The 25,291-nt window shown below is 42.0% G+C and overlaps 1 protein-coding gene across 1 annotated transcript in view, besides 3 other annotated features; it reads left to right on the forward strand.

Moving 5' to 3' along the window:
- SLX4IP (SLX4 interacting protein) overlaps nucleotides 1-25,291 on the forward strand; it is a 192,726-nt gene that overhangs the window by 87,955 nt on the left and 79,480 nt on the right. The window lies entirely within an intron of this gene.
- Nucleotides 682-976: a silencer, noted in NCBI's record as "tiled region #8388; K562 Repressive non-DNase unmatched - State 23:Low". NCBI's record gives its function as "represses a minimal TATA promoter and a strong SV40 promoter by Sharpr-MPRA in K562 cells {active_cell/tissue: K562}" and the evidence as "EXISTENCE:reporter gene assay evidence [ECO:0000049][PMID:27701403]".
- Nucleotides 682-976: an enhancer, noted in NCBI's record as "tiled region #8388; HepG2 Activating non-DNase unmatched - State 15:Elon". NCBI's record gives its function as "activates a minimal TATA promoter and a strong SV40 promoter by Sharpr-MPRA in HepG2 cells {active_cell/tissue: HepG2}" and the evidence as "EXISTENCE:reporter gene assay evidence [ECO:0000049][PMID:27701403]".
- Nucleotides 4,582-4,876: a silencer, noted in NCBI's record as "tiled region #5326; HepG2 Repressive non-DNase unmatched - State 16:ElonW". NCBI's record gives its function as "represses a minimal TATA promoter and a strong SV40 promoter by Sharpr-MPRA in HepG2 cells {active_cell/tissue: HepG2}" and the evidence as "EXISTENCE:reporter gene assay evidence [ECO:0000049][PMID:27701403]".

The following is a 25,291-nucleotide window of genomic DNA, read 5'->3' on the forward strand; positions in this document are numbered from 1 at the left end:
AGCTTTCTCCTCCTGGTGGAAGTTTATATGAAATTTGTTTCTAATGATAAAAGGACACATAAGCCAGTTTGCAGGGGGGAGGAGGAGTTGAATTCATCCAAATCACACTTAACTGGTTTTCATGATAATTATTAAATTGCCTAAATTGTCTTCCTTCTTTCAATTGACCTCTGTATATAGACATAGTCAAACGCCTTTGTGTTTATTTCTTCATATCTACAGACATATGATTATATGGAAGAAGATTAATTATAAGATAAAGTAACAGATCCTTCACCTTTGTAAATGTTGCATTAAACACTAATGACTTTCTAAAATGAGACTGTAAGCACCATAGAAGACAGGGACCAGGACTGCTTATTCACACCATCCTCCACGGGGCCTGGCACGGTGCCCGGCACCAAACACCCAGTGCTGATTTAATGAATGAATGAATAATTTATTGCAGGAGATGATACGTCAGAACTGTCTGCTGGAGGAGGTATTAGGTGAGAAGCTCATATTAAGCTTTAAAATTATGAGCAGACTAAAAAATCTTTTTTTAAGAGTTGTCTCACTATATAAACAAAAAGTCACATTATCACTTAGCTGCAACCAAATTCTTATTTGAGTCTATTAAATTCATTTTTTTAAGGATGTGAGACAGTAGGTGAAGTATCATTTTTAAAAAATGAATTGGTAGGAGGAGGCAGTGATGTTTGGCCATTTTGTTGTTGTTCCTGTCTGACAGGGACCTGCAAGGGCAGGGCTGGCTGGTCGAACGTAAGAGCCTTCCTGGCTGGCTGGGGGACCAGCGGGCTCATGACCCTAAGACTCTGCACTGGGAGGCGTAGAGAATGTGGAAAGGCCTGGTGACGGCAGCAGGCCTGGGCCAGCCCCAGTGCTTTGTGATGGAAGAGAGCTGCAGGCCTCATGGGGTTTGTAAAGTGGACTGGCTGTGTCCGTTTGGGATTGATTACACAGTTACAGGGATGGCTCGCAAAACTCCAGGAAAGGAGGACCCTTGGCAGCGTTCCTCTCAGCTGCTGCTCTTTGGGAATCAGCTGGACTCTTCTCAGGCTCTGTTTTTGTTCCACAGTGCCCAGGTTTACACATAACAGGCATAGCCATGCAGGGAGACACTCTTGACCACCCGCCCTGCCTTAGTTCCACGTTGCCGAGAAACATGAAATGATTGTTCCGTCAGCTATGGCCAGGCCTGGGATGAAGTCAGAAACACACAGGGCTCCCAGGAGCCCACTCAGCAGTGATGAGAAAATAGTCATAAAGAAGAGGTTTAATTGGAAATTCAGTTTGCTATATTCGTAAAAATGTCTTTGATGTTTAAAATAATTAATATTTTTGTGAGTTGCTTTCAAGTTTTTATTTGACCTGTGGGGATACAGGATGGTAGTGGAGCTACAAAAGTATTAGCTGAGTGTTGTATGTACAGAAGTCAGCACAGTGTCAAGAAGGAGGACTGGGCTCTGCCAGTTACCTGCCATTTGATCTTATCTTTTCAAAGCCTCAGTTGACAGGTCTCGAAAATGAGGTAATGATTCATGCTTGCTCACATCTGAAGCTCAGTACATCCAGAATTCTGATCTCCTGCTCAGTCATACTTGCTTGTTCCTCGGACATTTCTCCTCGTCATTTCTACTGCCATTGTCTTGGTTCAGGTTGTCATCTCCTGTTGCTAAGGTTACGTAACAGCCACTTAACTAGTATCATTGTCTTCAGCTTCTCCCCTCTGCACCTATCCTCCCCTTTGGAGCCAGTGGTCCTGTATGTGCTTATCCTGTTTGATAGAGAAAAAAGTTCCTAGCACATTATTAAAAATAGAAAGATAGAAATAAAATAAAATCTTTACAATCTGATCCAGCTTATCTTTTTCTTTTATTTTAAATGTGGTTTCTTTATAATTAGTATTTTCATCATTTTTATGTGTATATCATTTAAAACATGAAATAGCAGTACCACAAGGATTTTAAGAAAAAGTAGCAGACCCCTGCCTTCAGTTCTTCCTATTTCCAAATCCTGTACTCCAGAAGACACCTCTTTTTACCTGTTTATACAGTAATTTGATTTGCCAATTTTGATGTTATATATTGACCTTTCTCTACACGGAAATTTAGCACTCATACCTCTTGCTTTCCATCTGCTCACATAGAAGCTTCCCCTCTTTCCCTTCCATAGTTGTATTACAATGTTGAGTTAAATCTGTATTTAATGTTTATATTATTATAATTATATAAGTATTTTTACCGCTTAGCCGAACTATATACCATGAATACATTTTCTCATTGTTATAATGGTTTGTTTTTCCTGGAATTTAGAGTTGCCTCTTTTTTGGCGGATTAGGGGGTGTTAATGGTTTTCTTTGTTTCTATCACTATTTTCCTCCAGAATTATTCAAATGAATTATAAAGTCCTTCCAAGAAATATTTTCCCACAATCAAACCCATCAGGTAATGGACCAGCACATTTCTTCGTGTCTTCCTGGAGATGTCATTCTGTTGCTTTCTGGACCAACTGCATTCAAGGCTCAGCGCACAGACGTCATTTTCTGTTTACCTTCACCTCTCTTCTGTGTTAGATTCTCCTTTTCTCACACCTTCCACTGTCTTGACTTATTCCTTTTTCGGTGGAACACAATTCTAGTAACTTTCTGAGAAGGAATGTGGATATGGGGTAAGGACTTGGGGGTCTCCTGATAAATGCCTTGCTGCCGGCATTCTTGGAGCTGAGCAGCAGAAGGGCCCCACTTCTCCATGGAGTCCTCTCCCTGCTCATCACTGGCCTGTCAGCTGATCTCTTTGTTCTAGCCTGCATTTCCGGTCTCACCTTCCCCCATCATACCCTCCTTCCTTCATGCGCACATCACATTGCACTTTCACGCCTCTGCATTTGTTCACACTCTTCCCATAGACTTCAGGGTTCTTCCCCAATATTCTACTTGGTAAAAGCCTAGTCATCAATCTAGATGTCTATTGAGGTGATAAAATTATAGTTGAGAAAGAGAATGGTTCCCACTCTGGAAATCATGCTCTTTCTCAATTATAATTTAGCTCTTGCTCAACTTTGGTTTATCAAAGCATGAAAAGTCAGTTTTTAGGCAGGTGTATGAGAATCATTGGGTTTGGGTTTGTCAGCTGTCATGATCCTTTTTGGGATGAGCTAGAATATAATTCATTAACAAGTAAAATTTAGTAGTGTTTCTGACACGTGCTGGTATTTGTCTGAAATATGTCCTCAAGATTGCCACTCAGGTGTTTTCTCCATCAAATTGTTTTTGAACTGCTGTGTTTTTAGTAGGCTTCTGTATTTGTTTCCTATGGATGACATAACAAATTGCCACAAACCAAGTGGTTTAAAACAACAGAAATCTATTCTCTCCCCTCTCTCTCTCTCTTTAAGAGACAGGGTCTCAGGCTGGGCACGGTGGCTCATGCCTGTAATCCCAGCACTTTGGGAGGCTGAGGTGGGTGGATCACTTGAACTCAGGAATTTGAGACCAGCCTGGGCAATATGGTAAAATCTTGTCTCTACCAAAAATACAAAAAATTAGCTGGGTTTTGTGGCATGTGTCTGTGGTCCCATCTACTTGGGAGGCTGAGATGGGAGGACTGCTTGAGGCTGGGAGGCAGAGGTTGCAGTGAGCCAAGATCGCACCACTGCATTCCAGCCTGAGTGACAGAGACCCCATCCCAAAAAAGAGAGAGACAGGATCTCCTTCTGTTACCCAGATGGGAATGCATTGGCTATTCACAGGTGCAACCAAAGCAAGGTACCCATTGAGATATGTGTTGTATGTTGATAATCAAAAGATATATCATCTTCTGGCTGTAATGATCACATACCATCAGTATTTTGCTGGTTCATTTGTTCACTTAACAGATAAACATGCCATAAACTAGGCCCTATGCTAGGCGCTGGCTCTATAAAAGCTATAAAAACAAAATACTGCCCCTCAAAGAGCTCACAGTTCTGCCAGAAAAGCCAGCTCGCCCATGAGGGTCCTAACTTATTATTTAAATACATCCTTGAATAGCCATAGAAATAAGGAGTTAAAAATACGAAGAACAACTCTGGCAGGAAGGTTAGACACATGTGGAAGGTGCAGAGGGGACTAGTCAGAAGGCATGTTTCATGATTTACCAACTAGAGGTGTTTCAAGCAGGCTTTTGGATGCAAAGTGGCTTTATGATACAAAGATTAAACTCTCTACAGAATCCTCTCAGTGTATTCAATATGAGCCCCTTTACTTCTTTCTGTAAAAATTTACTCCATCCTGTCCCCAAGGAAGATGTTTTTATAAGGTATAAGGGAAATGGAAGGTAGTCTTCAGCCTTTAGAGATGTTTTATTGCTTTCATTTGTTTCAGGGTACTTGACTACACTCAAAATTATTTCTCTGGGGTATTCTTACAAAGCTCTCTTGGATTCATCTAATAAGGAAGAATAATTTGGAATCCAAAATTATCATCTCTGTTAGAGGTTCTAATCCATGGTTTCTTCACAGTGCAGTATGTTTTGGATAAATTGTGATTGCTAATATAGTACCTAAGTTTGTCAGTGATTTCTTTCCAAAAAAAGATTGACGCACATTTAAGATTATTCATTAATATAATTACTCCTTTTCATTTGCATTCCATCCTGCTTTTTCATTTGGGAAAGAAATGTGCAGAGGGACAGCTGGTGCCTCTGTAATTACACATAACCCCCAGCCTGTCTTATCTGTGCACTCCTGGGAGCGGGTCACAAATGTCATCCTCTGTCTTGCGTGTTTCAATTTTTTAAAAAAATGTTGACAGGCCTGGTGGTTCCACCTTTCCTAAGTAATTGATCATTATGGCTGTTGTGTAACCATTTGTCAGGTAAGAGTAGTTTGTTTTATTTTTAACTTTTGCAGTTAATTAAAAAATGGTTTTAAGCTCCTAGAATTTAATTCAAAAGTTTTCTAACTTTGCGCTATTCTTGCAACTTTTCTGAAATTTGAAATTATATGAAAACAAGAAAGCATCAAAGCAATAGGAAAAAACAATGCTTAAATGGACCTTCTGTGGGTCCATTTATCAAACATTAGTTTGATAAATATCATCATTTTTGAAATGTAATTAATTTTCCTGGTAAGGCTGAATCATTCAAATGGGATTTGCACCTTTCACAGTCTTTCATCCTCCTGCCCATTTTCCCTTTCCTTTATCTGATACTCATGAGTAATAACAAAAGCAACAACTAACACTTATGAAGAAGAAAATAATTTTACTTAGGAGTAAAAAGGCTTGTGGAAGTTAAGCTTCACTGGCCTTGCCATATTCTTGGAATTTTCTTTTCTTTTCTTTTTAAAAAAAATTCCTAGGAATGTGTTGTCATTATATCAGACTAGCTCTTTGGAGTAAACCCCAGACCTGTCTCCTTATGTACCAGGCCAACAGAGGAGGGCCTAGACTTGTCAGCCCCAGCCTGAAGACTCAGAAGAGAAAATCTTTGATACCCATGTGAAGATCCACACCCAACCAGAGTGGCTGGCCAGTGTTTGCCCCACTGGTCATATTTCCCTGGGCTCAACATACCTGTGTTGTCACATTAGATGTTTTTGTAATTCGGGATTTTTCTTCTGAACATAGATGCAGACATTTCAGATACCCACAAACTATGTAACCAAACACAGCCTAGCTCAAAGTTGATATTCCCTGAGCTTTCCTTTATGCACGTGACTTAAACACATGACAATATTTGTCTATTATTTTAATCTGTACAAGGAAAGAAAGGTAGTGATACGTCAGTGAATTGTTCAGATGGGTTTCTGTTTCTGTTTGCTTTCCATATTCTCTATTTTTTATAATAATAAATTTAGGATGATGTCTAAAGACTAAAAAGTAGATTCAGATTTTGCTTACTGCTTTAACTTATTTAAAAGTCCTGTTTTTAGGAGGAGTAAGTAGATTGATTTTCCTGTCATGCTAACATGAGACATTTAATTTTTATAATGTAATCTTACGTTCATTAGCCTTGTGGCTAATGATAAAACAAGATAAAATAAATGGCATTTTAAAAGTGATTCTGGACCAGGCGCGGTGGCTCACCCCTGTAATCCTAGCACTTTGGGAGGCCGAGGCGGGTGGATCACTTGAGGTCAGGAGTCTGAAATTAGCCTGGCCAACAGGGTGAAACCGCATCTCTACTAAAAATACAAAAAAATTAGCTGGGCATGGTGGCAGGTGCCTGTAATCTCAGCTACTTGGAAGGCTGAGGCAGGAGAATTGCTTGAACCCAGGAGGTAGAGGTTGCAGTGAGCCGATATTGTACCACTGCACTCCAGTCTGGGTGACCGTGTGAGACTCCATCTCAAAAAAAAAAAAAAAAAAAAAAAATGATTCTGATTACTCACATTCTTCTTCTTCTTTTTTTTTAAATCCTACTTTTGTTAGAATTCCATATCTCTAAGAAAGGAGGAACACCAAAATCATTGAAGGTTCAAGGACCCTCTCCCATAATTGCTATCATAGAAAATGTTCAATTCTAGTCCACCTGAATATAAACCACCTCAAGCCAAAATGAACAGAGTTCTCAGTGCCAGGAGAATTTCATGAGTTTGGGAAGCATTTTGAATCTCTGCCCTCAGTTTGGAAATAGTTTCATTTCTCTGCTAATGAAGAAGTCCAAGACCATATGCAGTCTACAGAGGTTCCATCTATGGAGCAAAAGTTGGGAGCAGACCAGCAGGGTTGGCAGCGTGAAGATTCTAGTTCTCTCTGTTGAAGTCTCAACTGCCGAGCCAGCACTCAGACACAGAGAATGGTGGTTCCCAAAAGTTTTGGGAATCCATATTGTGAACAGGCTGACACTCTGCCTACCTACTGTTTAAGGGAATTTAGACTGTTTTGGGAAACAATCGTGTAAGAAGGCTTGCCTGTGCTGCCTGCCCCAGAGTAAGGCGGTGCAGTCTCAGACGTACTGGTTGGAGATTTGAAGCACAGTAATACACTGGCTGGTCCTTTCATTTGTTGGTTATTCTTTGTGTTTCTGGTATGAGTTTGTACGTTTAGATAATCCAGTGAATCTTTGAGCTTTTTCTTTGTGAGGTCTGTTTACACATTTGGAAATATCAGTGAATATAGTTCCATTGGTGTTTTGCGGCTTTCAGCTTTTGAGTTCCCTCTGAAGCTACTGCCATGACGTTAACCTTTGATGAAGTTAAGAGCATCAGAGGGTAGAAGAAAATGATTACCAGTGGTTAACGATGTCCCGATTTGTTAGGAGTTTGGGAAAAGTGCACATTTCCATGGAGTCTGCGTGCTCACTTGGTGAGAAGCTCCCTGACCACACGTAAATTGAGAAATAGATTGCAAAATCAGTTTTGATTAAAATGGGAATTTGAGCCTGCCACTGAGAAGCAACCATCTTGCTATAAATTATTTATGGCATGAGCATAGGCTTTAGTATAGAGGCTGTAAGCCTTTTTCCATCTTGCTTTAAAAATTGATTTGATTATAAAAAGAAAATTAATTTTGCTATTGAAACAAATCTTTAAAAAGGGATTTTAAAGTGACTCTAAGGTAGAAAAAAAAAATTACCAAGACTCTTCCAAAAAACCAACTTCGTAGCTGGATTCTACAAAAAAAGCATAAATGCTGAACCCTGATTAACACACTTTATCATATTATATACATGAGATATTTCTTACAGAGAGTACCACAGTGGTGTAAGGAGCATATTTTTGTGAAGTCCTCAGCTTTACAAACATATTTAGATTTATTCCTGTGCTAACTAGGTTATATCATATCTCCCAGTTTAGACTGCACATGGATAGTCCACTGAGCAATGTGACATGAAGATGGATGGGCCTAGTAGACAGATACCAGGCCGCTGCCAGGCTTGCAGCATTGACTCCTCTTCTGGGATCATCACATGCCCACTTCTCCCCACCCATCTCAGCTGTTAAGTCTTGCTGTGGGATCAGACCCTCACCCCACCTCCTACCTGCCGTGACTTGACAGGGAAGTTCATTTGGGAGATTAAAAATGTAGATGGACAGATACAGTTTCATGAATGATTGGAAACATGGTATATTCTCTGCTTTCATTGCATAGGGTTTGAGGTATATCTTGTGGACCAACATTATCTATTATATGTCCTCTATGGTCTTATTTGTCTTTGCCTCCTTGATCTGACATGGCCTGAAAGAAGTGAGCTCAGTCTTCTATGACTCTTGTGTTTCTCTTTGCTGTTTTTAAAAATTGTACCTGTTCAATAAATGTTTATTCCTTATTTCCCATGTGCCAGGAATGGTTCTCAGCTGTGGGGACCCAATTTTGAATAAGACCGACAAAGTCCTTGGTCTCATGGAGATGGCATTTCAGTCAGGGGTTAGACAGACACTGCACAAAGAAAGAAACAAGACAATTTCAGATACCGAGACGTGTGACAAAGAAAATAAAAGATGGTAACTTGGTGGCTAGTGACTGGAGGTGGTTCCTGCTTAAATAGGATGGTCAGAGAGACTTGAACTTTCAAGGTGAACTCTGAGTGAAAAGAGAGAGACACCTCCTAGCGTCTGGAGGAAGTGGTTCTAGCAGAGAGAACAGCAGGTACCAAGCCTTTGAGACAGAAGCAAACATGGTGTATCAGAGGAGCAAGTTTTACAGTCTTTTCCCTGCACATGTATGCTGTTGGATTCTCAGGATAGTTTTCATTTCTTTATAGCTTTTATTCTCCATCACTACACATGCCCTGCTTCATCTCCTATAACTCCAGCGTAAGTTTCTGACATCACATCCCTGACATTGGTTTGCAACTGCCAGCAGGAATTTGCCTTTTTCACTGTGGGCCTCATCTGAGTCATCAGCTATCTCGTCATTGACTGGAGTGGTCTCCATAGTTGTGTACATGTGCCAAGATGGGGGCAGAGGTTAAATGATCCACGGTGGTATGGGAAAATATAAGAACTTTCATCTGTATTTAATTTATTGAATTCAAAAGAACTAATCAAAAGATTGATGTCACCACCAAGAAATCATAAGTATGGGAGGGGATGGATATGTTCATTGGCTTGGAATCATTCCACAGTGTATACATACAACATCACATTGTGCCCCATAAATATACACAATTATTTGTCAATTAAAAGAAATTAGTATCCGCACCCTCACTAGGTTGGTGCATCAAAGGGCCCTCTGTCTGGGAAGGTGACATGAAGGAGGGAAAGATCCCTCCTGATGGGAAGGACCTGATTGTAGTACCCTTTCCTGTTGGCTTACCCTTGATTGGGACATAGTGCAGCCACATGCAGCAGGGTGTTGTCATGTGGACGATTTCATAAAAACACAACCCATCTCTAGTCCTCACTTCACCTGAGGCCCCCTGGTGACATATTGTAGTGAAAATAACCAGTGTCTTAAATAGGGGTTCGTATTCTTTTAGTGCCCCTCTCCAAGATGGGTGCATATCCCCAAGCTGAAATTTGGACTATGAGATTTTAATTCATACTGAATAGAAAAGCTGAAGAAAAAAATGGACTTTTATAAGCCACAAGCAATTTTTTTTTTTTTTTGAAATAGAGTCTCACTCTGTCACCCGGGCTGGAGTGCAGTAGCGTGATCTCGGCTCACTGTAACCTCTGCCTCCCGGGTTCAAGCAATTCTCCTGCCTCAGCCTCCCAAGTAACTGAGATTACAGATGTCTGCCACTATGCCCAGCTAATTATTTTTATTTTTAGTACAGATGGGGTTTCACCATGTTGGCTAAGCTGGTCTCAAACTCCTGACCTCGTGATTTGCCTGCCTTGGCCTCCCGAAGTGCTGGGATTGCAGGGGTGAGCCACCACGCCTGGCCCACAAGCAATATTTTTGTGTCAAGAAGGAGAAACTTCAGTATTTCAAAACCTCTTGGGAAAACTCTCATATGAATGAGCCTTGTATTTGTGCAAATAAAACAGAGATCCACTTTGAAATGAAAAGAAGTTTAAGGTAAATCACTCTGGTGGGAAGAAGGTTGTTCAGTGCATGAAAATTTGCAACTCATGTCTTCTCGATGGTCTGATCATCTTATATGAAACATCTCTTTTTTGTTGTTGTTCTTGAAACAGAGTCTTGCTCTGTCGCCCAGGCTGCAGTGCAGTGGCATGATCTTGGCTCACTGTAACCTCCACCTCCTCGGGCTCAAGTGATTCTCCTGCATCAGCCTCTCAAGTAGCTGGGATTACAGGCATGTGCCACCACACCTTTATGTACAAAAATACATAATTTTTGAATTTTTAGTAGAGGCGGGGTTTTACCATGTTGGTGAGGCTGGTCTCAAACTCCTGACCGCAGGTGATCCGCCTGCCTCAGCCTCCCAAAGTGCTGGGATTACAGGTGTGAGCCACCATTCTTGGCCTTTTTTTTTTTTTTTTTTTTGAGGCAGGGTCTGGCTCTGTCACCCAGGCTGAAATGCAATGGCATGATTTTAGCTCACTGCAAGCTCCACCTCCCGAGCTCAAGCCATCCTCCCACCTCAGCCTCCAGAGTAGCTGGGACTATAGGCACATGCCACACTGCCTGACTAATTTTTGTATTTTTGGTAGAGATGGGGCTTTGTCATGTTACCCAGGCTGGTCTTGAACTCCTGGCTTCAAGTGGTCCTCCTGCCTCAGCCTCCCAAAGTGCTAGGATTATAGGTATGAGCCACTGCACCTAGCCATCTCTTATTTTTAAAAAATTTTCACCATTAATTTTGTGTTGTCTGATTTTCACATTGCCCTCCCTTTTTCCTTTGGTTATGAGTTCCCAGATCTTCCTCCAGCCTTTTGCTGGGAGGGAGAGTCTGCATGTGGAGCACAGAGTTTTGTCTCAGCCGAGGCAGGGTGAGGGTGGTGGGTCACTTCTGCCAGAGCCCCCTTGAACCAACTTTGTGCCTTGTGGGTAGGGGTAAACAGGGCAGAAGCCAAGGTTATGAGAGGATTTGTAAGGCCCTGGGCACCATTAGAACTGCACTGGGACCCAGGAAGGAGTGTTGGCCCTGAGTCGGGGAGTGAGCATGTATTCCCTGCCTCCTTCCTTTCTTTCTGCAATATACTTATTGAGCACCTTCTGTGGGCTAGGCATTGGTAAGCATTAGGGTGTCAATCATCAATAACTAAATTGCAGACCTTATTGTCTCTTGGAGGAAGCTGGCAGTCAGATCAATCACACAGAAGCAGGAAAAATTGCAATCTTGAATCATTGTTTCAAAAAGAGGTACATGATGCTGCCTGCAAGATAAAGGGTGAGTTGCCCTGGTCTGGAGCCTTAGAAGGTTTCCGTAAAGAAGGAGCCTCGAGTCAAGCCTGAGCCTAGGGGAAGGTGGGGTAGAAGAAGGAATGGGGAGCTCCTTCCAGCAGAGCCAAGGTCCTTTCTGCTTTGTCCTGCTCCGTGTTCAGCTCCTGGCGCAGGGCTGGCGTCTGGGGTATGCTCAATAAATTAAAAACGAGTGCATGAACAGAGGCCAGCAGGGCTGGAGCAGAGCACAGGGGACAGTGGGTTGGCATGGTGCTGGAGAAGCTGGCAGGGGCCAGACCTCACAGAGGCTTGTAGGTTATCATGTACTTGTAGGAGACCACATAGGTTACCATGAAAGGAGACCACATAGGTTGTTATGAAAATCAAGATAATTTTTAGAGCAGAAGGGGGAGCTATTAATAATTACGCCTGGATAGAAAGGCGTAAAATGCAACTGACTTGGGTGTACCGGGATATGGTCAACCTCTTACCAGCTTCCTAGGATTTTAGTCTTTATTCTGAGAGGAGTGGAAGGCCCCTCCAAAGGTTTTTAGCTGGGATGAGGTTTGGGGTGTGGAGGCAGGGCATGGCATGATCGCTCTGGCAACAGACTGGTAATAGATTGAAAGTGAGTTGTTGCAGGAGAGAGACCAGGGAAGACGGTTGCAGAAGGCCAGGCTGGAGCAGGTGATGGCTTGGCCTGGAGGCATGGAAGGGGTTAGAAGTGATGAATTGCAAATGGCTGCTGAGGAAGGGAAGTGTTGAGGTCTCAGAATTGGATAAGTCCTAGTGCCACTGGCTGAGTCAAAACAGGAGGAGGGAGCAGGTTTGGAAAGAACGTGCAGGTTTTGTTTGTTTTTTTGAGGCAGAGTCTTGCTCTGTTGCCCAAGCTGGAGTGTAGTGGTGTGATTTTGGCTCACTGAAACCTCCGCCTCCTGGGTTCAAGCAGTTCTCCTGCCTCAGCCTTCCAAGTAGCTGGGATTACAGGTGCGTGCCACCATGCCCAGCTAATTTTTGTATTTTTAGTAGAGATGGGGTTTCGCCGTGTTGGCCAGGCTGATCTCGAACTCCTGAGCTCAGGTGATCCACCTCCTCGGCCTCCCAAAGTACTGGGATTACAGGCATGAGCTACTGCGCCCGGCCCAAGAACATGTAGTTTTGTCTAGGGTAAGAGTCAAGGTATGAACTTAAGAGGTTTCATCCTTAGTCTCATGAATTCCCAAACCAGGAGAGAATAATGGAACTACCTGTGTTGCATGCACATTCATGCTCCATCCTCACCCCTTCACCCAGGTGTTCACTACTCACATATGCCTGAATTTTATTAACTAAAAACAAGTTCTTTCCTTCACTAGAGATGAATGTGTTTAAAAAGCAAATATTGAGTAAATTTGCATAGCAGATCAAATGCTTTCAAAGGGGTAAGGATTTTGGAGAATGCTTTGTTTTGAGAAAGCCTGAAGACCCTGAGCTAGAGACACACTGTTTAGAAAGATGAGCCTGGAAACACTAGTGAGGGAGAAAAGCAGAAATGAGCGCCGGAGACTCCACCAAGGGAGTCCGAAAAGTCAGGGCACTGTGGGTGAACTTGAACCTGAATGTAGAATGGCTCTTACGGTATCTATAATTTGCAAACTTCTTATATACTATTTACATAATAGTTCTCCACTTAGAGATCTTTAACACACCTTCTTGTTTTTTGGAATGTGACAAGTTTTATAGCTAGTATGGACAGGAGAGAGGATAACTTTAAAATGTGGTGAATAGGGCTGGGCGCTGATGGCCTATGCCTGTAATGGCAGCATTTTGGGAGGCTGAGGCAGGAGGATCGCTTGAGCCCAGGAATTTGAGGACAGCCTGAACAACACAGCAAGACCTTGTCTCTTTAAAAAAAAAAAAAAGGATTAAATAAATATGGTGAGTTGGTTGCAGTGAGCAGTGCTTCTGTATCATCAATTAGAAATATTGCAACGGTTTGATCTCTCAGTCGCCTGTTAGTTCATCCAAGGAAAAGGAAAGGCAGAGAGCCTTGTTTCTTTGCATGTGTGACACTCAGAAGCCAGCAGTTCTGCAGGCAGTTTCCTAAGGTCTGGCTCCCTTGGCAAACGTTACCTTGGCTGCAGGTAACTTTATTCTTTGTGAATAATGCCAGCCTGGCCACCGTTGCCCTCTTCTGGTAAGGGGCTAATGCTACAAACGTACTGAGTTTTACAAGGAAGGAAAACTCAAGCTCGATTTTCACTTTGGTCAACTGTGCTATGCCAGCTGGCATAAATCCCTACAATGAAATGAATGTTTGGTTTAAAATGTTGTAATGTATACTCAGACCATGGAACCATGTGAGGGTCTAATCTTATTTACAGTTTTGGCTTTGAGGACTACCTTGGGTATCCATATCATTTCCCACAGTTGGGCCACTTTCTGTTTGGCAAAAAAGATTTCTTTCAGCCTTTTCTCTGCCTGTGAAACCCTGTCTGGCTGCTTCATTAGCTAACACATGTGTGAATTTGCATCATTGATAATGGCAGCAAATGCAAGGAATATGGTTTTAATCAAATTTTAGTATCTAATATCTCTGAAGCTTAGGGCATAGAACATTAGAGGCCTGGGATAAACAATTCATATTCAATAGCAGCATTTTAGCATTTCTTGGTGACATATTTACACAATTTATAATTTAGAGATGAGTTTATGTTACATGGTAAAACTTGAGAATATGCTGAAATAACGCACTGTGTTGGGAGGGGGCAATGAAAATATGGGGCTACTATGGCAGTTTATGCAGGAACTACTTTAAGGGCAGTCCTTGTTGCCCTACCCAGTGCTTAATTTTTTGTGACCAATCTTTGGTTGGCACCTCTCTTTCCCTCCCCAACTGGGAAGAAGGTAAATACTCCAGTCAACTAAGTGGGCTTTGTGTTTAATGGAACCCGTAATGAATACTTACAAAGGAAACACTGTTTCGTGAGGCATGTACTTCCTTACTATAACTCTTTTTAAAATTTAGATTCTTAAGTAATCCATTAGGTTGCAGTTTGGCCCGAAGAGTATCACAGATAAAAGCTAGCTACCATACTCGTTTGGATTATTAGGATCTAAAGACATGATGTTGATCTTTTTATGCTGGATCAGTTTGATATTTACAGTTCAGTTGATTCATGTAATTTTTCTAGGAATTGAATAGCAACAAGAAATACATCTAATATCATGATCTCCTTATGACATTAATAATACATGAGAAGAATCTTTAAGTTTTACCCTTATGCAAATGCCCCATGCAAATTACCCAAAATAAAAATGGTTAGGTAACAAGGTCTCTCAAGAGAAAGGACAACATGATCATTTAGATTTTGACAAAAGTAATGAGATAGCCTATTTTTTAGATGTTGTCTGTTCACAATTCCTGAATTTATTTTTTAATTCCTTTCTCCCTGCCTCCATCCCTTCTTTCATTGATTTAGGCCCTGTTAAAAGCTAACAGTGATATAAGAATGCTTTATAGAGCTGGGGTAGTTTGTCAGCTGGCCAGGTGATGAATCATGGAATAGAATTCTTTCTGTGACCAAATTAAACCCTAATCCCATGAAGAAAGCAGTCATTGACAACTTCTGGCAAGGTAAAGACTAAGAGGACCCTTTCTTTGTTGTTCCGGGCAGCTGGGAGGATGAGCAGCATCCACACTCTTTGGCTGAGCATTTTGTAGTACCTCTTTGACCCAGGGCCATTTGTACCTCTTTTTCTTCCTCCTCTTGGCCTTTGATCCCTACAAATTCTCCAGGGCTAAGTCAGCTGGCTCCATGCAGAAGGTTTTAGACAAGGTTTCTCTACTTTGGCACTAATGACATTATAGACCAGATGATGCCTTGCGGTGGGAGCTGGCCTGTGCAGTATAGGGTGTTCAGCAGTATTCCTGGAGTCTACCCATTAGATGCCAGCTGTGACAGTCCTAAATGTTTCCAGACATTGTACACAGGGAGGAAGGGAGCAAAATCACCTCTTGATTAAGAATCTAAAATTACAGTTCTAGATTCTTATTGATAAAGCCCTTCATCTTTTTTTTTTTTTTGAGACAGAGTCTCACTCTGTCGCCCAGGCTGGAGTGCAGTGGTGCCATCTTGGCTCACTGCAACCTCTGCCTCCTGGGTTCAAGCGATTCTCCTGCCTCAGGCTCCTGAGTAGCTGGGACTACATGTGCATGTCACCATGCCCTGCTAATTTTTTGTATTTTTAATAGAGATGTGGTTTCATCATGTTGGCCAGGCTGGTCTCGAACTCCTGACCTCAAGTGATCCACCTGCCATGGCCTCCCAAAGTGCTGGAATTACAGGTGTGAGCCACCGCACCAGACCTTCTTTGGCTGTATTATTTTGAGGTAAACTGTATTGTCACATTTCACCAATAGGTGCTGATTCATGGCACACAGTGGATTGCAGCCTGAAGGTTTCTTAATTTAAGGAATTAAGGGTGGGGAATAAGTTTCCTGTTGAGGACTAATGCCCAAGGCAGAGTTAATCAAGAGGCACATACCAAAAATAATTTAGTGTCTTTTTATCTCACCAAATAAAAATACTCAGTTCCCTTGTTTGTTAAATTAGGAACAGGCACCATAAAACTTTATTTCATAAGAATAACTAATTGTAAAGTTTACACTTGTCACATTAAGGCAGAGGTGATGAAGGAAGGGTACAGGCAGGCAGATGATAGATGAAGGAAAAGTAGAATCTGATTTAGAAAGAAAAAAAGGCATTCAAGGAGGATAGAAAAGAGACTGAAGGAAGAAACATTAGAAGAATTTGAGTGTTTTGGAAATATTACCTGCTCCTCAAATAGTTGTAGGATTGTCATGAAAATGTATCACTTTTTACCTACCATATTTTAAAGGGATTAGAAGATTTATCAGTGTTCACAAAGCGTGAGTTGCTCTAATTAGTAAATCTGTAGGGAATCCTGTCTAAATAGCAGAATTGGAGTGGAGGGTGACATTTGCAGGTGCAAAGAAGCTCATTATATTTTGGTTTGTTAAAAAAAAAAAAGAAGAAAGTGACCATCACCAGTAAGGGCAGGTGGAATCAAGCAGACACCAGGATCTGCCTCCCTATCTCTAATGTGTAAGGAAAAACAAGGTAGTTTTCTGCTTCTCTTTTTCATTTTATGAGTGTGAAAGTTATGGAATTTACTTAAAACAAGGAATAATTATTAAACTGTTCAGAGTATATGTAGTCTCCAAATTTAAATAGTTGAAGGTAATCATCTCAGCAGTGGGTCTCAACCCAGCCAGCACATTAGAATCGGGTAGGGAGCTTTTAAAATATACTGATACCCAGGCCCCACCCCGAGAGTCTGATTTGATTTCATTGGCGTAGAATTTGGACATAGTTATTATTTTAAAAGCTCCCCAAGTGATTCTGAGGTGCTGCCAGGGTTGCAAACCACTCTTCTAGGCCAGTGAATCTCAAAGTGTGGTCTCTAGACCAGCAGCATCAGCATCACCTGGGAGTCTGTTAGTAACGCACATTCTCAGCCTCACCCCAGGTTTAAGTCTCACCATGGGGCTGAGCTTTAGCAATTTGTGTTTCTTTTTGTTTTCTTTCTTTTCTTTCTTTTCTCTCCTTCCTTCCTTTCCTTCCTTCCTTCCTTCCTTCCTTCCTTCCTTCCTTCCTTCCTTCTTTCCTTCCTTCCTTCTCTCCTTCCTTCCTTCCTTCCCTCCCTCCCTCTCTTTCTTTCTTTCTCTTTCTTTCTTCTTTTTGTTTTTTTAATACCTAGCCGAGCACAAAGCTAATCAATGTGTGTTTTTAACAAGCCGTCCTGGTGAATCTGATGCTCGCCCAAGTTTGAGAAACACTGTGTCAGGCAATGGGTAGTGGTGTTTTGAAGACATCGAATCCTGAGAATCAAGGGTGTGTAATAGTGGATGCTGGCAGTATTACTCTGAAGTCAATGCTATGGTCTTCAGTGTTCATTTGGCTCAGGAGGCTCTTCACTTATCCGAGGAGGATACCTGGGAAATGTAACTTTCCACTGAGAGCCTTTATAAGGCTTAATTGCTAATGTGTAGGTAGCAGCTGATACAGACTTGTCCCTCCCACTCTTTTCAGCCAAGCTTTCAACCTCACTCTAAATATTCTTAATTAATGATCTTCGGCTTCTGAAGCCATTTCATCAGTGGTCTCCTGTCCCAGCACGTTTCCCCTTTGAGCATTCCTTGAAGAGGGTGTTATTCCCAGCAGTCAACTAGAAAAGGAAAGTAGAGGTGGCTCTACACAAGTCCTGTGACCAATTAACGACCTCCCTTTATTCCTCTTTGTAGTTCTCTAAAAATGGGTCAGAGGAAGAAAAACTCGGCTCTCACCAGCAGACCTCGCCTGTGTTTGTCTAACATATTCTGTCCCATTTCAATTTCCTGCCTTAGGCATGAATTGGTTGAAGATTCCCTTTGAACTCTTACTCATTCTGTAGAAATTCTCTGTGATGAAAGCAGTCATGGGATTGTTTCCTGAGTTCTGAAGCAGAGCAGAATAGTGAGGGAAATTCAGTGCTAAAGTTTAAGGTTCATTCTCAGCAAAACTAAGGGATTATTTTGCATTGAATGAATTTTGAATTTTGTTTTCTCATTTGATAAAGCTGAGTGAGGGTGAAAGGTAAAGGGAAACAAACTTCTTAATCCTTTACTTGTCAGTAACAGTTTTTATTGCTTCATTTTCTATTTACAAGGAAAACACCTTTAAAATAAAACAATTCTATTGGATCAGCACCTTCTTTGGTAAAGTTCAAAGAAATTTCCCAGGTTAGTCCCTATCATTCCCTCACATGTGGTCCTTAGGAGCCTTCTGGAATTCCCTGCAGGATGGGATTCCCCTTGCATCACTGGGCACTTCCTATTATGAGGTTCCCAATGTTGCTTGCCCTTTGTGGTTTTAGTCTCTCACTAAAATAATAGAACCAGGATTTCTGAACCAGGAGTCACTTTAAGGAAGTGTCTAGGCTGTCCAATGTGGCAGTGACTAGTTTATATGTAGCTGTTTAAGTTAATAAATTAACTGCTTATTAACCAATTTAATTAGAAATAAAATTTAAAATTCACACCAGCCTCATTTCAGATATTCAGTAGCCACATGTGGCTTGAGGCTAAGGTATTAGACATTGTAGATATAGAACATGTGCATCATCACAGAATGTTATTGGACAGCAGTGGTCAATTTTGTCACCCTTGTTAAATAAGATACTGAGACTGAGAATGATGTTTGTTAACTACTCTCAATTAGTTAATTCCTGTTTGTGGACACTGCAGTCTGTTTTCTTTTTGAATTTAATCATAACATCTCTGGGAGGGCAGGGATTATTGTCCCATTGTACAGATAAAGGGATTAAGATTCAGAGAGGCTGAGAAACTTGGCCCTGGCTCTGTGGCCAGTAAAGGGGGCAGCCAGTGTTTGCATACATATGTATCTGTATGACTCTAAAGCCCATGCTTTGCATGTTAAAGTCACTAAAAGGTCAAGTACTCAGATTTTTGGGGTCTATAAGCCCACATTTTTAGGTGTAAACTAAACAAACAAACAAAAAACCAGGAAGCCAATGGTGCATTGGATGGTTGAAGTAACTAAATCAGTCCAATGCAACAAGCCAGCAGTCAATCCTTTCCTGTGTAGTTTTCATCACTCCTCACAGGGAGACCAGTGGCCTATGATAACAGTGCAATATTTATTCAGTTGCCCATTTTAATGGGCTTTGTGTCAATAGAGTTTTCTCCCCTGGGTTGAGTGGCCAGTGCACACCCCCTGCGGCAGATCACTTCCTGTTTGAAAAGTCCTGCTGGTCTGATCGTCTTCCTTAGGTGGAGCCAGTACCTGTCTCCTTATGGTTTCTCTGCTTCATCTGGTTCTCTATCCCTTAAGGCCCTAGAGAACTAAGGATTATTCTTCCACCTTTGAAAGCCCTGTTAATATTATATTATCCTGGCTATTCTTTTTTAGATTAATCATTTTACTTTCTTCAGCTGATGCTCATGACATGATTTTAAGTGTTGCTGTTATCCTGATCACTCTTATTTGGGTACGTGATAGTTTGTCTCAATTTCAATATTGAGAGTAATTGAGCACTAAATGCATAAAGCCTCATCCTGTCACTTTTCCCGGCCACTGCTGTTAAGGCAGCCTAACATGAAATTAACATCATTTACAGCGATGGCACTCTGCTGCCTGCTCACAGCACTTACTCTTGACTAAGAATGCCTCCACTTGGGCTGTTAGTTTTTTGGAGCCAAATGTTATATGACCCTTACATATATCCTAGTTTAATTCTCTCTAGTTAGATTCCCTCTGAATCACAGAGGTCCAGTTTTAGAGTTTTGTTTTGTTTCCCAGATCCAGTTTTTGCTACCCCAGATATGCACTGTCCCCTTCTTTGCAGTGACATCCACCTATTTTGTGGGTATGTCCCCTATATATTCATCCATTCCAGTGCTGGAAATGCAGACCAAGACCAGGGTCGAGGAAAAAGTTGTTCACCATCCCCATCCAGGTTGCTGTTTGGCCATTAATGGGTCCTGTGGTTATGGCTGTTTAACTGGTTATGAACCCACCTGTCATTTCATCCACTTCTATTTTTCTGTTGTTTTATTCACTAGGACTCATTTGTTCATAGATTCATTTCATTAATATTTATTGAGCTCCTACCATGTGCCAGGCCCTTTTGAAGGTAGAACTGTTAGGGTTTGTTAATAGATTGGATGTGTAATATGGGAGAAACAGAGGCATCAAAAATGACTCCAACGTTTTTGACCTGAACTGGAAGAATGGAGTTACAATTAGTTACCATGTTTGAGGGTAAACATTAATAGTTTGGTTTTGAACCTGTTAAGTTGTAGATGTCTATTTGACTCCCAAGTGGAGATGCACAGTAGGCAATTGGATATATGCCTCTGGAGGCGAGAGGGAGGTCTAGGCTACAGCAAAAAGACTAGGAGCTCTCAGCATGTAAACTGCCCAGTGTCTGAAACCTTGAGACTGATGAAAGTGCAGATGGAGGCAAGGAGAGGTCTAAGGACTGAGCCCTGGACTCTCTAGTGTTTAGAGGCCAAAGTGATGGGACAAGCCAGCAAAGGAGACTGAGAAAGTGTGTCCAGTGAGGAGGGAGGAGAACGAGCAAAGCTGACTTCTGGTGTCCCAAGAAATCAAGGAAAGCAGGAAGTGAAAGAACCACTTTGTTAGATGGTGCTGAGGTAAAGTAGTATGAGGATCATGAACTGACCATTGGGCTTGGTGACATGCAGATCATTGGTAACCGTGACAGAAGCTGTTTTAGTGGAGTAATGTGAATAAAAGGATGTCATGAGGAACTTCATTTGATTCCTGGCTGAGGTTCACGTGTGCTTTGTCAACTGCCTTCACCAGTCATGGCAGCTAAGAATATTGTCAAAGAAGAAAATGAGGTTAGTTTTTCATAATTGGGGTTTTCTTCAGGCTCTCCCTTAGTAGTCTGTTATGGATGAAATGTATAGCTGTAAAATCCATCTTTCTCTCCTTTTTGAAAAGTGCAGCATCATTTCTGTCTCTCTAGGTCCTCCAGGTAACTCTTGTGCTCCTCCTCATCCCAGTGGTCGAGCCAGGCTCTGGTGCCCTGGGATGGATTCCTCTGAGCCCAGTCATCTAACTCATTAAAGGATTTACATGCAGTTATATCTGTTCCTTAACTGTTTGGAGTTTACAGCCCCCTTTCTTTTCATTTCTGGCCTTTCCTTTCTGTTTCTTCCTAAGGCTCTCCCTTCATCCAGCAGGTAGATCTCTTTTTCCCTTTGGATTTTCATCATCTTTATCATCCTAATTCAGAGGTGAATTTTGAAGATGCTCAGCAAGGCACTGTTTTATCTGTAGCTCTCACCCTGGCTACACATCACATTCACCTCTGGAGAATGTTTGTTTGTTTGTGACAGGGTGTCCACTCCAGTTGCCAAGGCTGGAGTGCAGTGGCACAATCTTGGCTCACTGCAGCCTCGACTTCCCAGGCTCAGATGATTCTCCCACCTCAGCCTCCTGAGTAGCTGGGACTACAGGCGTGCACCACCATTCCTGGCTAATTTTTTGTATTTTTAGTAGAGATGGGGTTCTGGCATGTTGCCTAGGCTAGACTCGAACTCCTGGACTCAAGCAATCTGTCCGCCTTGGCCTTCCAAGGTGCTGGGATTACAGGCGTGAGCCACCATGCTCAGCCTTTTTTTTTCTTTTTAAAGAAAATCATAATTTACACTAAAGGAATTATTTTCTTGTATTTATGATAAAATGGTGATTTTTTTACTTGTGAGTTTTACAGTTGAAATATATTCTGGTGAATATATTTCCTGTTGTATTACATGGTGAAACTTCATCAGGTATTTTTTTCTTCCTTTCTATTGTAACCTCAAAAAAAGTTCCTGTATTCTACAGAGAATGCTATGAGTATTCTTCCAGGATACAAGGGGGCCTGTAGCAGGGGCTCTTAAACTTCAGCATATGCCAGAATCACCTGGAGGGCTTGTTAAAACACCGGATCCTGGGCCCCTCTCTGTAATTGCTGATTGAGTAGGTCTGAGTAGGATCCAAGAATTTGCACATCAAATCAGCTTCAGGAGATGCTGTGGCTGCTGGTACTCTGGGAACCGGCTGCTGGTACTCTGAGAACCGGTAGTCTAGGCTTGAGGCTCTAGTGGGTAAATATCCCTAAGGTCGTACACACAGAGAGCTTTCCTGAACTAGCAGAGCCAGGATGGTAAGTGTGGCCAAGGGTACAAACAGGCCTAGCACTTGACTTTGTTGGGGCTCTCCAAGGTTCTGGTAACCCTGAGCCCTGAAATAGTAGAAACTCCTCATTCTGAGGTTGTGTTTTAGTTTGCAGCCACATACTTCAATGCTGTTTTGTCTCCTGTAAAGGTCACACTTAGCCCTATCTTTGGCCTGTCAAAGTTGACACCCGCTTTAAAAGAGTAAATGTGTAGCCCCCTTGATACACAGTACTCATTCTGTGACACAGCTGTACATTAAAAAACAAAAAACAAAGCAGTACTCATACAATGCTAATACCCCAGAAAAAATTAAATGACAGCTGGATTGAGCAGAGAGTACCTGTCATAGCTTTATCTGGCAAGTCCTTTGTTGTATTAGAAAGTAAATGAGAAGATTCCAGGGAAAAATTACCACTGTGGGGGGGATTCCTTAAATTATTTTACCTATAAACAAATAAACTGAATTCCTCTAAGTCATCCAGAATCCCCAAAGTATTTATCAAAGACACTTTGGTTCCACCCACAGAGGTAGGAAAATTATGCTACCTGTCTTTCCTCTTCCTTCCTGCTTCAAGAAATCTCCCTCCAAAACTGGCCACCCTTTAGAACAATCTGCCAACCTAGATGTTGATTACTAGGGGAATATTTACAGGGGTTTTCTTTGACTCATATGTAGTTTGTCATAAATTCCTCTAACTCATAAACTGAAAAGCTTTTCTTTCATGTCAGGATTCTTCACAAATATTAAAGAATATTTTCTAACATGTTAATTCTTAGTTTAAAATCAAAGCCACATTCCAATGCCTCATGATCACACATGTTAGATCAAGTAGTGGACAAAATTTGTGGGTGCTGATATTCCTGTTGTTTCCCATACTCCTGTTTCAGATTATAGATGCCATAATTGATCCAGAACATGCTCCTGACCAGCATAAATGTCACTAAATATGAGTGATGCTTGTTTCCCAGCCACTTTGCACCCTCTCAAGTCAGGGGCCTTACGGACGAGTACATTGCAGTTTCTGTCAGGTTGTCTTTTCATTTCATGTGCTCTCTTGCAGAAATATGTAAGAGGAGAGTTCATAGTTTTACTTGTAATGTGGTGTGATTACAAGCCATCTGCTCTTTTTCGTAGAAGCAGTGTGTGGCCGGAGTAAAACCGTGCAGAAGAATTATGAGGCATTTATTGGCTCTTAATAGGAATAGGTGGAAACCTCTGCCCTACCTATCTGTAAATCTTATGGAACTAACAGTTCAGAATTCATTTGAAAGTCTTTGGAATTTAAGACAAATTCTACCTTTGGAGAAAAAAAAGAGAAAAGCAGCCAATATTTCTTCCTTGAGCCCTTTGTATGGCTGGCATGGTGCAGAAGCCTCATGCCCACATTGTCTCATGTCATCCTCAAAATAAAACCATGATGTAGTTTTCATTGCTATCTCCATTTTATGTTGGAGGAACTTAACCTGTGTCTCAGAGCCACTGAGGCTCAGGGCTAGGATTTGAAGTCAGGTCTGTGCTGAACCAGGCCACTGTTTTACTCATTGCCACACCTGCTGTGTCTATGCCACTGACCAGTCGACTGAGGGAAGGTACCTGCAGGTTTATACTTGAAATAATCATGTCCTGAAAACCATTAGGGAGGGTCTAAAGAAATGAAATCAGTTCTCATCTTTCGAAGGGACCCCCAGAGAGCCTATTCCCAAATGTATTCTTCATGCAGTGATGGCTTTGAGAGTTTGTGATTCAGCCTGGAATTCTACCCCAGGGTCCCAGGGGCATATGTTAAATTTAAGTAGCCCTTCATAATAACATGGTTGACCATTGCTTTATTCCACGCAGTACTTTGCCTCCCATCTCAAATCTTACCCAGGGAGACTGTGAGCCACCCTACAGCACTCTGGGTCAAAACTCAAAACTCTTTCTCAGTAGGATACCAGAGATGATTTACTGAAGGACATCACAGCCTCTTATTTGATTTTCTCCTCCTTTTAGAAGCTGCTGTCAAAGTCATTTGTTCTGCTTTTCCCTCATCTTTCTTTCTCTTTCCTTTGTGTTTTTATCTTTGTAGAATCCTTCCCCAACCATAGTAATAAATCTGTTGTGGAAAACAAGTGACTGGGAAGTTACACATCCTTGACCTGTAGTCAGAGGTCCCACAACAGACACTGAACAGGAGACAGGAGCTCCCTCCCCTCCTGAGTCCTTTTCACCTCAGACAAGTCACACTCTCCCAAGCATCCCTTTAACCCGAAAAACTCAAGCTTAAAGAACTAGTCATCCATTTGCAACCAAGGAAGTTTCCTTTAATTGGTCTGGATTCACATTGTCAACCAGGGCTTTGTACTTGCATCTTGTTCTGCCTGATTGACTGGAAAGTGGGGAAATAGCCATTCCAATTCACGAGTGACAGTATTCTGTGCATACCTGGGGCAACCTTAGTTGTAAACCATTAGCTTGATTCTGCAGTGTTTTTTTTCCTGCGTTCAGGGTGCAGGTGAGAGGGAGGTAATCCCTCCTAGAGAGAGAATAAGCCAGCCACTTAATTTTCATCACTGATATATGTTTTCACTTAACAAACACTCTTCACGACCATCTGTGTGCCAGACCCAGTACTAGACATTGACAACCCAAAGGTAACAGAAGGCAGCTCCTCCACAAAGGCCACCTGGTGGATGGCCCATAGTGGACTGACAGAGGACAGTATGAGGTGCTAGTCTCAGTGTGACACTTTTATAACCTCCACAGGAGGACAGACACTATGTGTGCAGGTAGAATCCAAGTAAATGGTTGCAAACCAAAATGACCAGGAGATGAGATCTTAAAGGGAAGGCACCTTGAAGGCAATTTAGTTCAGTCCACTCATTTTGTATATAGGGAAACTGACAGTAGAGAAAGGAGGTGGTTCAACGCCTCCTAAACTGGGGCATTATTAGAAGAGATTCATGGTCTTTGGACTTCCTGCACCAGGACATTCTCCTATTAGTCATCAAAGGGCTTTCTCCAGGGCTTCTTTTTTTTTTCTGAAACGGAGTCTCGCTCTGTCGCCCAGGCTGGAGTGCAGTGGCATGATCTCGGCTCACTGCAAGCTCCGCCTCCCGGGTTCATGCCATTCTCCTGCCTCAGCCTCCCGAGTAGCTGGGACTACAGGCGCCCGCCACCACGCCCGGCTAATTTTTTTGTATTTTTAGTAGAGACGGGGTTTCACCATGTTAGCCAGGATGGTCTCAATCTCCTGACCTTGTGATCCTCCCGCCTTGGCCTCACAGAGTGCTGGGATTACAGGTGTGAGCCACCACACCCGGCCTCTCCAGGCCTT

The sequence above is a fragment of the Homo sapiens genome, chromosome 20 (assembly GCF_000001405.40).
Source record: "Homo sapiens chromosome 20, GRCh38.p14 Primary Assembly".
NCBI classification, from domain to species: Eukaryota; Metazoa; Chordata; class Mammalia; order Primates; family Hominidae; genus Homo; species Homo sapiens.